General features: G+C 37.5%; 1 protein-coding gene across 4 annotated transcripts in view; it reads right to left on the reverse strand.

Annotated features, from left to right (window-relative positions):
* Positions 1 to 6,942: 6,942 nt before the first annotated feature.
* ZNF724 (zinc finger protein 724) overlaps positions 6,943 to 14,106 on the reverse strand; it is a 28,796-nt gene continuing 21,632 nt past the window's right edge. For all 4 annotated transcript variants that reach the window (XM_024451520.2, NM_001355404.2, NM_001355405.2 and 1 more), the window contains one exon: positions 6,943 to 9,362. In XM_024451520.2, coding sequence (XP_024307288.1) covers positions 7,729 to 9,362 — 1,634 coding nt within the window. In that variant the 3' untranslated portion in view covers positions 6,943 to 7,728. The remainder of the gene's footprint in view (positions 9,363 to 14,106) is intronic.

Genomic DNA, 14,106 nt, shown 5'->3' on the forward strand with positions numbered 1-14,106 from the left:
TTTTTTTTTTTTTGAGACGGAGTCTCACTGTCACCCAGGCTAGAGTTCAGTGGCATGGTCTCTCACTGCAACCTCCGCCTCCCAGGTTCAAGTGATTCTCCTGCCTCAGCCTCCCGAGTAGCTGTGATTACAGGCGCCCGCCATCATGCCCAGCTAATTTTTGTAATTTTAGTAGAAACTGGGTTTCACCATGTTGGCCAGGCTGTTCTTGAGCTCCTGACCTCAGGTGATCCACCTGCCTCGGCCTCCCAAAGTGCTGGGTTTACAGGCATGAGCCACCGTGCCCAGCCGTAAGTAAACTTTTAATATAATGAATAGTCTAAACCCAACACTCAGAAATAAAATGTTTATTTTTAATGTTCAAAATACAATACTATAAAAGACTCTAAAGCAACTGCTTACAGTACCATTATTTCTACGTTTCTAAATAAATTATTCCTTCACTTGTTAGTTATTTGAATATATATTTTAAACTACATTTCAACGTATTAAATCAAATGAACATACGTACTTGGCAATAAAAAATTTATTAAACAGGTAGACAAGAAAACAACTTGCCTTCTTTTCTAATTTTAAAACTGACAAACACTCGGCATTTAGGTGCTTATTTGTCTAGTGTTACTGGAGTGCTAAAGAGAAGTACTCAATGGGAAATCTTTCCGTATTTATATCCATGCTGGGTGTGAATATATGGGAATTTTCCAAGGGTAGTACTATAAACATTCAACTACTATTATATATAGCCCCAGATTGACTGATTAGAATAAACATGGGTTACAAACCACTGATGTGGCCACCTTGTTTTTAGGCTTAACATTGATCATGATCTAACAGAATCAACAAATGAGAGCTATATGCTGGGTGCTCTTCGGGCACCTTTATTTGCATTAATTGCTTTAATTTTACCAAAATCCTAAAGTTGGGGATGCAATCAGTAACCAGCTGACACCGAGTTTCAATCTAACCATTACGCCCAACACCCTGTCACCCAATGCTTGTTTTAAATCCTGACCTAACATTTTGGCTTTAAATTTTTTAATTTAGTAAAAATAAAGATAAATTTACAAACCACTTCTTTTTATCCATAGATAGTATGTAGAACTTAATTTTTGGTTTAAAGTATTCATTACAAAGTCTGAGACAAACACTTCAGTAAGTGAATTATAACATTATTCCTCTTATGACTTAAAAGAACCATTAATTTTACTTTTGAAATAATGAGTGTTTATATTTAAAGTTAAAATGAGCCTATTATTATATAGAAAATTTGTTGTCAGCATGAACCTTGTCATCCACTGAGTGGTCTACAGTTGCTTTCAGAAACACTAATAAGAATACTGTTTCTGATTGAATAATTAAAGAATGTTATGCTTTTTCAGTGACTAAAATAAAATAGATTGAAATTACTGATTAGTAACTTACCATGTGGTTTAAGTGTTATTTAATAAATACATGTGAAGTTTCTCTTAAACTCATTTTAACAAATGACTTCTGTTTTTCACTTCTATTAGAAAAAAGTATTAAAATTTGTTATTACAAGCCTATCAATTTTATTCAGATCTAAATATAGCGCTAATCTTAAAAGATCTGTATGCTTAGGATTATAAAAAGCCTATTCTCCATTCACACATATAAGATAAATAACTGCTTTTCAGTAAACCCAATGGGGCAACTGTGACTCACAATTATAAGCTATTAAAATATTAATACTATCACCTAGATGACACTTTTAGGTATCTGCATGTTCAAGTTGTTTAACTTATAATTCAAAAATAATTTTTTATAAACTATAAAAAATAAAAAGAATTTTATTTCTTAAATATTGTCATTATTTCTAGTTGACTTAACATTCAATTTTAGAGGCTGTGGCTTTAGAAACAAGAAATGTCATGGTTGACTCCACTTTACTTCCTGCCTTATTTCACACAAACACAGCAGCACAAAAAAGGCCAGAAATGCTACAACTTGACTGGAAATACACCAGTACCTTTCTAGGGAGAATATATGTGGGAGCATATTTACTTGAAATTAATGACATCTTTTGTTGAAGTACAGGCTTCTATATGGCAAGTAATAAATACAAAAATTTTACAGGGCAAAAGAGTAAGAGATATACTCTAAAATTACCTTCTAACCCATTATTTCTTTTTTCACTAGCATGGTTGTGACGGAATGAGCATTTGCAGCAGCTTTTTTTTTTTTTTTTTGAGATAGAATCTTGCTCTGTCGACCAGACTGGAGTGCAATGGCATGATCTCAGCTCACTGCAACCTCTGCCTCCCGGGTTCAAGTGATTCTTCTGCCTCAGCCTCCTGAGTAGCTGGATTACAGGCACGTGCCACCACACCCTGCTAATTTTTGTTATTTTTAGTAGAGATGAGGTTTCACCATGTTGGTCAGGCTGGTCTCAAACTCCTGACCTCGTGATCTGCCCGCCTCGGCCTCCCAAAGTGCTGGGATTACAGGTGTGAGCCACGGTGCCCGGCCTGCAGCACAGTCTTAAATAACCTACACTCTCTGCTTCATCATTTTTGAGATATGGCCATAAGACATTTATGATTTTATTAGAAAAAAATGTTTCCTTTTTCTAATTCAGAAATTTAGCAAAATTTCACAGGTGGATCATGAGGTCAGGAGTTTGAGACCAGCCTGACCAACATGGTGAAACCTAGTCTCTACTAAAAATACAAAAATTAGCCGGATGTGGTGGCACGTGCCTGTAGTCCCAGCTACTTAGGAGGCTGAGGCAGAGTGCAATTGTGCCACTGCACTCCAGCCTGAGCAGCAGAGAGACTCCATCTCAAAAAAAAAAAAAAAAAAAAAGAAAATTGAATCTACAATAACTGTAGTAATTATACTTTGAAATAAATTTAACCAAAAAGTGGAAAAACCTGTGCATTATAATCTAAACAATATTGAAGTACAAAATTAAATAATACACAAATGGAAAAATATTACCTATAAATGAATTAGCATTATTATTGTTAAATATCTGTATTACACAAAATAATCTACAGACATAATGCAACCTCTATGAAAATACCAGTGACACACTGGTATAAATTTTAAAACATACATCTAAAATTTATATTGTACCACAGAAGACCCAAAGTAGCCAAAGCAATAAAGAAAAAAAAAAAGTGTGCTTTGGGAGGCCAAGGCGGGTGGATCACGAGGTCAGGAGATTGAAACCATCCTGACTAACACGGTGAAACCCCGTCTCTACTAAAAATACAAAAATTTATCTGGGCGTGGTGTCGGGCGCCTGTAGTCCCAGCTACTCGGGCGGCTGAGGCAGAATGGCGTGAACCTGGGAGGCGGAGCCGATTGTGCCACTGCACTCCAGCCTGGGAGAAAGTGCGAAACTTCGTCTTAAAACAAAAAAACAAAGAACAAAACAAAAAAGGGTGAAGATATCACCCTACCTGACTTTGAAATATACTAAAAAAGCTATATTAGCTAAAACAGTATGGTAATTGAAGAAAAACAGACACATACTCCAATGGAGCAGGAACCAAAAAAAAGACAAGAAACGGCTGATTTGAAGTTACAACTAAGCCCAGCAGTAATATTTATGGCTTATTACGGAGCATCAGTTACGCAGCAAACACTCTCATGTTTCTTTTTTTTTTTTTTGAGAAGGAGTCTCGCTTTGTCACCCAGGCTGGAATGCGGTGGAGCCATCTCAGCTCACTGCAACCTCCGCCTCCTGGGATTAAGCAATTCTCCTGCTGCAGCCTCCCGAATAGCTGAGATTTCAGGCACGTGTCACCACACAGCTAATTTTTGTATTTTTAGTAGAGATGGGGTTGTGCCATGTTTGCCAGGCTGGTCTTGAACTCCTGACCTCAGGTGATCTGCCCACCTTGGCCTCCCAAAGTGCAGGGATTACAAGCATGAGCCACCATACCTGGCCTCACTGCCATGTTTCTTTTGATACATTTATATATATAAACATTCTCATGACTTATGAAACTTCCCTAGTACTTACCTAAAAAAAAAAAAAGACTCAATAAATAAGTAAATTCACTTATGTCATCTATAAAAAGTAAAAGGACAATAACTAAAGAAAAGTAGGCTTATATAGGCATCTGCAACTAAAAGAACAAAATGGAATGTTCTAAATAAAATACATTAATTATGGAATTACTTCTAAAAATTATGTGCACTACTGAATTTTATAAAAAACATTCTTATAATCACGACCAACTCATGTAATGGATACTTCATAAACTATAAAACAAAAAATTATAACAAGAAAATTATAGGTCTGGCATGAGTGCCAGGCAAAGAGTTTGTATGGCGAGATTCTGAACCTTAAGCCATAAGGTTTTACAGTAATGAATTTAATACAAAGCTGAGAGCATAAATTTGCTTTCAGCATTTTTGAGGTTTTTACTAGCTAGCAAATTAATCACCTTATTAAAATGATTTGTTCCGATATTGCTCTATTCTTCTGAAAATAGGTACAAACTCATGCTCATACAAACACACTCACTCCATAATTTTCTTTCCTAAGGTTTAGAGTAATACATGCATATTTTTAACTTTATGTAAATCAAAATTAAAAGTCTGTGTGTTTGCAGGCAGAGAGGCCACATGTTCAAATAAAAATATATAAGAAATTTATTAAAATACGTATTCAAGACTCACAAATGTATGCATTTTATTCATACTTCTAAATAATATAATCATAGAAATTACCCTGTAGTCAATGTCTATTTATTTATTCATTTTGAGACAAAGTCTCGCTCTGCCACCCAGGCTGGAGTGCAGTGGCACGATCTCAGCTCACCACAACCTCCACCTCCCAAGTTCAAGAGATTCTCCTGCCTCAGACTCCTGAGTAACTGGGATTACAGGCACTCACCACCGTGCCTGGCTAACTTTTCTATTTATAGTACAGACACTGTTTCAACATGTTGGCAACGCTGGTCTTGAACTCCTGACCTCAGGTGATCCACCTGTCTCAGCCTCCCAAAGTGCTAGGATTACTGACATGAGCCACGGTGTCCGGCCGTCAGTAACAGTTTAGTTGTACATTTTAAACTAACAAAAAGTGTAAAATTAAATTTTCTGTAATACAAAGGATAAATGCTAGAGGTGAGGCAGTCAGTAACAGTTTAGTCGTACATTTTAAAGTAACAAAAAGTGTAAAATTAAATTTTCTGTAATACAAAGGATAAATGCTAGAGGTGATAGATACCTAATTTACCATGAGGTGATTATTATATATTGTATGTATGTATCAAAATATGCCATATGTGGTTTAAATATATACACATACTATGTACCCAAAAATATTAAGTAAATTTAAATGAGAAAGAAAAAATAAAAACTTAACATACAGGAACAACATTCTTTAACTTCTTTGCAGTTTAAAGCCACTAGCAAAAAAGATTACTACAAATACTACTTTATTATGTTAACAAATAATATATTGTTACCATCTTTTACCTACACTCTAAGGTGGAATGGGTTAAGGTTAGCGGCAAAATAATGCTTCATTGAATGCACAATAGTATTTAACGTGTTAAAAACGTTAAATTAAAAAGTTAAGTCTACACATAATTTCAAAGTTTTAAAATGTACTGGATTGTATCACATAAAAGTACAATTAGTAAAATAATACACTATTAAATTTTAACTAAAATTAAAAATATTTTTCTCTCATAATGTAGAGTATTAAACTGAACACCTACTTCATGCATTGCTCAATATTATAAGTTAATCACAAAGAGCATCCCTACTTAGATTTTCATCATACATCTTACATTTTAATGTCTTTACTCTTTCATAGAAGAGAGAATATATAACGCCCACCTAATAAAAAAGAATCTCTCATATCTTTCATGCAGGAACAATTCATCACATACTTTCACATGTGAATACAATAGGAATAAAGAAACAGCATGAATTTGAGAGTTGAATTACATCATTATTCACGTATTTAAAAAGTCTATAAAATTTTTTCAAGAAAAAAGTATACTTTGGTGGACACAGTGGCTCACGCCTGTAATCCCAGCACTTTGGGAGGCTGAGCCAGGTGGATCACCTGAGGTCAGGGGTTCAAGACAACCTGCCCAATGGCCAAGACCCCATCTCTACTAAAAATACAAAAATTAGCCAGGCATGGTAGCTCATGCCTGTCATCCCAGCTACTTGGGAGGCTGAAGCAGGAGAGTCACTTGAACTGGGAGGCGGAGGCTGCACTCCAACCTGGGTGACAGAGCAAGACTTTGTCTAAAAAAAAAAAAAAAAAAAAAAAAAACAAAAGTAAAGCCTGACCAACATGGTGAAACCGTCTCTACTAAAAATACTAAAAATTAGCAAGGCATGGTGGTGCACGCCTGTAATCCCAGCTACTCAGAAGGCTGAGGCAGGAGAATCACCTGAACCTGGGAGGTGGAGGTTGCAGTGAGCCGAGATAGCACCACTGCACTCCATCCTGCACGATGGGAACAAGACTCCATCTCAAAAAAAAAAAAAAATGTAATTTGAATGTAATAACTCTCCAAAATATCTTATACACTTTTTAAAGTTATATACAAAATATTTATGTACAAACTTCAGTTCTCAATTATTTTCTAAACTCAGCCCTCTGATTTAGTGTACTGTCTGAAGTGTCAGTTCCTTAGATATACCTACTCTGAATTGACATTTACAGACTTAATTTTTTCAAATAATTTTTTATATTACTGCATCTGCAAAAACATATTTTAGTATGAACTCTCTGGTGTTTCCTAGGCTGTAGTTTGTAAAAAAATGTTTTTCCAAATTTACTACCTTTGCAGAGATTTTCTTCAAGATAAATTATCTGATGTTGAAGAAAGCTGGAGCAACTACTTCAGGGTTTTCCTCTAGAACAAAATGTGTAAAATAAGATCTGTAATACAAGTAATGGTACCACAACACTCTTCATATTAGTTTTTTTTTTTCTTTGAGATGGAGTGCAGCTGGAGTGCCCAGGCTGGAGTGTGGTGGCACAAACTCAGCTCACTGCAACCTCTGCCTCCCAGGTTCAAGCGATTCTCCTGTCTCAACCACCGAGTAGCTGGGATTAGTCATGCACTACCACACCCACCTAATTTTTGTATTTTGGGTAGAGATGGAGTTTCACCATGTTGGCCAGGCTGGTCTTGAACTTCTGACCTCAAGTAAACCACCTGCCTTGGCCTCCAAAGTGCTGAAATTACAGGCCTGAGCCACCATGCCCAGCTTACACTCTTGATATTTTAATGCTTGTCTTCAAAATAAATACTCTTCTTCACTTTAAAGGCTTATATTTTCTGAAAAATCTATTGACAGTAATTTCATCTTTAATGCTTCTATTAAGTATGAACTCTCTGATATTGAATAAGATGTGAACAGATATTAATGGCTTCTTCACATTCTTTACATTTGCATAATTTTTCTCAAGTATACATCATTTCCTGTCCAATAAAGTGTCAGCATTGGTTAAAAGTTTTGCCACATTCTTCACACTTGTAGAGGTTTCCTCTACTATATTTTACCTACAATCAAGTATGACAACCATTTAAAGGTGTTTAGAAATATTGAGGTGTTGTCAACTGCACTGTTATATCTTTCAGGTTTGTACGGTTTCTCTCCAGTAATTCTCTTCGTTGGCCAGGATGGTCTCAATCTCTTGATCTTGTGATCCACCCGCCTTGGCCTCCCAAAGTGCTGGGATTACAGGTGTGAGCCACCACGCCTGGTCCATTTTTCTTATTTGTCAGATTTTTCTACAGCATGAATTTTCTTGTGTGTAGTAAGGTTTGAGCATTGGTTAAAAGCTTTGCCACATTCTTTACATTTGTAGGGTTTCTCTCCAGTATGAATTACCTTATGTTTAGTCAGAGTTGAGGACCAATTAAAGGCTTTGCCACATTCTTCACATTTGTAGGGTTTCTCTCCAGTATGAATTATCTTATGTTGAGTAAGGTTTGAGTATTGGTAAAAAGCTTTGCCACATTCTTCACATTTGTAGGGTTTCTCTCCAGCATGAATTATCTTATGTCTAGCAAGTGTCGAGGATTGGTTAAAAGCTTTGCCACATTCTTTACATTTGTAGGGTTTCTCTCCAGTATGAATTTTCTTATGTGTTGTAAGGTGTGAGGATAGGTTAAAAGCTTTGCCACATTCTTCACATTTGTAGGGTTTCTCTCCAGTATGAATTATCCTATGTTCAGTAAGGTTTGAGGACCGCTTAAAAGCTTTGCCACATTCTTTACATTTGTAGGGTTTCTCTCCAGTATGAATTATCTTATGTGTAGTAAGTTGTGAGAACTGGTTAAAGGCTTTGCCACATTCTTCACATTTGTAGGGTTTCTCTCCGGTATGAATTCTTTTATGTGTGGTGAGGTGTGAGGATGTGTTAAAGGCTTTGCCACATTCTTCACATTTGTATGGTTTTTCTCCAGTATGAATTCTCTTATGTTGAGTAAGAGTTGAGGACACGTTAAAGGCTTTGCCACACTCTTCACATTTGTAAGGTTTCTCTCCAGTATGAATTCTCTTATGTTGAGTAAGGGTTGAGGACACATTAAAGGCTTTGCCACATTCTTCACATTTATAAGGTTTATCACCAGTATGAATTCTCTTATGTTTAGTAAGGTTCGAGGATTGGTTAAAAGCTCTGCCACAATGTTCACATATGTAGGGCTTCTCTCCAGCATGAATTATCTTATGTCTAGTAAGGGTTGATGATTGGTTAAAAGCTTTGCCACATTCTTTACATTTGTAGGCATTCTCTCCAGTATGAATTATCTTATGTGTAGTAAGGTGTGAGGATATGTTAAAAGCTTTTCCACATTCTTCACGTTTGTAGGATTTCTCTCCAGTATGAATTATCTTATGTGTGTTAAGGTGTGAGGACTTGTTAAAGGCTATGCCACATTCTTCACATTTGTAGTGTTTTTGTCCTGTATGAATTCTCTTATGTTGAGAAAGGGTTGAGGACACATTAAAGGCCTTGCCACATTCTTCAAGTTTGTAGGAATTGACAGTAGTGTGAATTCTTTTATGTTGAGTTAGGTGTGAAAGAACACAAAATGACTTGCCACATTCTTTACATTTGAAAGGATTCTTTTCAGTCTTATGTCTATTTGAATTTGAAAATTTATGAAAGTCTTTCACATATTTATCACACTGAAATATTTTGCTCTGGGTAGTTGTCAAACACTGGTTAAATCCATTATAACTTCCTTTGTGCACCTTGTACTCATCCACACTTTTATAGCCTTTTTTTAACTGTAAATTGTGATGTCCACATTTTTCATATTTTCTCAGTATTATTCTTTGCAAAGAAGCTTTTATGCTCTGCTCTGGCCGAAGGTCTTGGGCAAAATAACAACACATACCTGAAAGAAATAAAAATAACAACTTACTCCACATACTAGACTCAGATACATATTCTTTACACATCTAACCTACAAAACTATACAAACTACATAAACAAGATTGCATAAGAAGGCCAGGCATGGTAGCTAATGCCTGTACTCCCAGCACGTTGAAAGGCTGAGATGGGCAGATCACCTGAAGTCAGGAGTTTGAGACCAGTCTGGCCAACTGGTGAGACCCATCTTTACTAAAAAATACAAAAAAATTAGCCGGGCATGATAGCATGCACCTGTAATCCCAGCTACTCAGGAGGCTGAGGCAGAAGAATCGCTTGAACCTGAGCGGCAGAAGTTGCAGTGAGCTGATATCACACCAAGGCACTCCACGCTGGAGAACAGAGCAAGACTTTGACTCAAAAAACAAACAAACAAACAAAAAACTGCATAACAAAATACCAAAGACCCTAATTTCCTTATAGACATATAAATATAAGAAAAATACACAGACCAAAATACATTTGTGAAAAATTTATAAATGAGTTAAGTGTGTACAGTGCCCCAGGAGGTGAGTACAATGCAAAGAGCCACAAAGAAAAAGAGAAAAGTCTGTTATATTTACCTAACACAGCTCATCCCTCTCCCCAATATAATATAGTGCCTTTAGAAGTGAACACCCAGCCAGGCAGGGTGGCTCAGGCCTGTAATCCCAACACTTTGGCGTGCCGGGTGGGCCGATCACCTGAGGTCAGGAGTTTGGAACCACCCCGGCCAATATGGCGAAACCCCGTCTCTACTAAAAACACAAAAATTAGCCAGGTGTGGTGGTGGGCACCTGTAGTCCCAGCTACTTGGGAGGCTAAGGCAGGAGAATCGCTTGAACCTGGGAGGCAGATGTTGCAGTGAGCCGAGATCACACCACTGCACTCCAGCCTGGGCAACAGAGCAAGACTCCGTCTCAAACAAAAAAACAAACAAACAACAACAACAAAAAAAAAACCCCACCAAATCTGTTGACAATGCTATGAAAATGAAACTTATGTTGATTGTTGATGGAAACCAAGGATGCAGCCATTATTTTAAAATGTTATGTTTCACACATAATTAAAAATAGAATTATAATTAAATACAGCAATCCCATTTATTAATCTATATCCAAAGTATGCAACACAGGACCTAGAAGAGATATGTAAACATCTATCTTTATTGTACCAGCATTCACAAAAGCCAAAAGGCTGAAGTAACCCAGATGTCTTTTGATTCATAAACGTATCAAAAAATGTGACATATACATACAATGGAATTTTATTCAGCCTTAAAAAAATCGTGGCCGTGCATAGTGGCTCACATTTGTAATCCTAGCACTTTGGGAGGCAGAAGCGGGTGGATCACCTGAGGTCAGGAGTTCCAGACCAGCCCGGGCAACATGGTGAAACCCCATTTCTATAGGATACAAAAAAATTTATCCGGGCATGATGGTGGGTGCCTGTATTCCCCACTACTCAGGAGGCTGAGGTGGCAGAATTGCCTGAACCTGGGAGGCGGAGGTTCCAATGAGCCGAGATAGCACCATTGCACTCCAGCCTGGGCAACAAAGCAAGACTCCGTCTCAAAAAACAAAAAACAAACAAAAACCACTTGTAAAATTCTAAGATAAACTTTGAGAATATTTTATCACCTAAAATAAGACAGTAACAGAATGATGCATACTATATGATTCCACTTATATGAGATATGTTATAAAGAGTCACACTCATAAAAACAAAGTAGAAGAGTGTTTGTCAAGGGCTGAGGAGAGGGGAAAATGGGCAGTTGTTACTTAATGGATATTGAGTTTTCATTTTACAGATGAAAAATTTCTAGAAGTGTTTTGCATAACCAGGTGAATATACTGTCACCCAAGCTGAAATACAGTGGCAAGATTATGGCTTACTGTAGCCTCAAACTCCCAGCCTCAAGTAATCCTACCCCTTCAATTCCCCAAGCTGCTAGGACCACAGGCGCACCCCACCCCATGCCTGGTTATTTTTGAAAAAAATTTTCTAGAGAGAGGGTCTTTTTTTTTTTTTTTTTTTGAGATGGAGTCTCGCTCTGTCCCCCAGGCTGGAGTGCAGTGGCTGAATCTCGGCTCACTGCAAGCTCTACCTCCTGGGTTCACGCCATTCTCCTGCCTCAGCCTCCCAAAAAGCTGGGACTACAGGCGCCCTCCACCATGCCAGGCTAGTTTTTTGTATTTTTAGTAGAGACAAGGTTTCACTGTGTTAGCCACAATGGTCTCGACCTCCTGACCTCGTGATCTGCCCACCTCGGCCTCCCAAAGTGCTGGGATTACAGGCGTGAGCCACCACGCCCAGCCCGAGAGAGGGTCTTTACGGGTGGGCCAGGCTTGTCTCAAACTTTTGGGCTAAAGTGATTCTCTTGTCTTGGCCTCTCAAAATCCTGGAATTACAGATGTGAGCCACCACCATGCATAGTCCTAATATGTACACTTAAATAGATTTAAGATGGTAAATTTTATGTCATCTGTTTTTACAACAATTTTGTAGAAGAAGAACCGAAAAAAGTAAAGAATTATGAATCTTTTCAAAAATTAACTTCAAATAACAAAAGTGATCTGAAAGGAACACAAAGGAAATGTACATTCATTATTAAACACAGTGTAGAAATAAGATTATTTTCACAACTACTCACTTATATAAGACAAAACAACCACTGAAAACAGCTAAGAAAAAATATATACAAGATAGGCCATAACCATAATTAGGGTCATATTTATAAATAAAAAACACACACATATATAATCTGATTGTGATAGACATATAGCTCATTTATTTCTTAATTAAGCCCTATGTTGACTTAAAGTGTACAGAGTTACAAATTGTCTAAAATTTTAATATGTAAGTAAAACCAAAAACACAATAGATTCATTTTAAGAAACCAACACTAAAAAAAACACATAAAGAACTGCAAAATAATAAGGGAAATGTTTACTCAAACTCTGGTAAGCAACATTAATGGACCATTAAAAAAGAATTTGTCTAGATAACTACAATATTTGACTGTAACTGTGTACTCATGGAAGGCAGGTATTATGAATCACTGGCATTAACTATATGGTAGTTAAAATTTCAGAGAAAATGCAGTATAACCATAAATAGAAGACTCTAATGAGAAACTTTTAATAAATAAGCATTATAAAAACTAGAGGTAGTTTTCATGTTTTAAATGTATGTTATTCTTATACAAAATGAAACTGCTGTAATTCAAATTTAGAAGCAGGCCAGGCGTGGTGGCTCACGCCTGTAATCCCAGCACTTTGGGAGGCCAAGGCAGGTGGATCACTTGAGGTCAGGAGTTCGAGACCAGCCTGGCCAACATGATGAAACCCCATCTCTACTAAAAATACAAAAAACTAGCCAGGCGTGGTGGTGCATGTCTGTAATCCCAGCTACTTGGGAGGCTGAGGCAGAAGAATCACTTGAACCCAGGAGGTGGAGGTTGCAGTGAGCCGAGATCATGCCATTGCACTCCAGCCTGGGCAACAGAGTGAGGCTCCATCTCAAAAAAAAAAAAAAACAAAAAAAAACAAGTTAAATTATATTGCTAAATTAAAAAGAAATAAATATATTTTTGCAGAATATAATTAAAGCCTCTGATATATAAAACAAATATTTGGGAATAAATTATGTTTTTATTTAGATATAGTCTGAAGAAAGTGGGTGCAAATCCTGTAATTCCTATTTGCCTGCAGCAAACAAATGTATAAGTAACTATTTTAGTAAATATGGAGTGCCTACTAAGTATCTAATTTACTTCAGGCATAACATTTAAATTCTGACATATGTGTCAATCTAAAATTAATTCTGACATATGTGTCAATCTAAAATTACAGACAAATTTGAAATAGAAAATAGAAAAATGAATAGAGTGACATTAGTTTGACGGAAAAATAAAAGGTGACCTATTTTCTTAACCCGACAGCAAGAAAATTTGTCAGGAATTCCTGACAAAAATGCCTTTATGAGAGAGCCAAGCATCATGTCTCACACCTGTAATGACAGCTATATGGTACACTGAGGTTGGAGAATTTCTTCAGGCCAAAATTTCAAGACCAGCTTGGGGTATATAGCAAGTCCTCATCTCCAAAATAAGTGCCTTTAAGAGAGCTTTAAAGGCCGAGTGTGGTGGCTCACGCCTGTAATTCCAGCACTTTGGGAGGCTGAGACAGGTGGGTCACCTGAGGTCAGGAGTTCGAGACCAGCCTGGCCAACATGGTGAAACACTTTCCCTACTAAAAATACAAAAATTAGCCAGGCGTGGTGGCGCATGCCTGTAATCCCAGCTACTCGGGAGGCTGAGACAGCAGAATTGATCGAACCCAGCCGGGAGGCAGAGGTTGCAGTGAGCCAAGATCGGGCCACTGCACTCCAGCCTGGGTGACAGAGATGAGACTTCGTCTCAAAAAAAAAAAAAAAGGCTGGGCGCAGTGGCTTATGCCTGTAATCTCAGCACTTTGGGGGACTGAGGCGGGTGTCGATCATCTGAGGTCAAGGAATTCGAGACCAGCCTGGCCAACATGGCGAAACCCTGTCTCTACTAAAAATACAAAAATTATCCAGGCATGGCCGGGCACGATGGCTCACACCTGTAATCCCAGCACTTTGGGAGGCTAAGGCGGGAGGATCACCTGAGGTCAGGAGTTTGAGACCAGCTGGCCAACATCGTGAAACCCCGTCTCTACTAAAAATACAAAAATTAGCCAGGTGTG

The sequence above is a fragment of the Homo sapiens genome, chromosome 19 (assembly GCF_000001405.40).
Source record: "Homo sapiens chromosome 19, GRCh38.p14 Primary Assembly".
In the NCBI taxonomy this organism is placed as follows: Eukaryota; Metazoa; Chordata; class Mammalia; order Primates; family Hominidae; genus Homo; species Homo sapiens.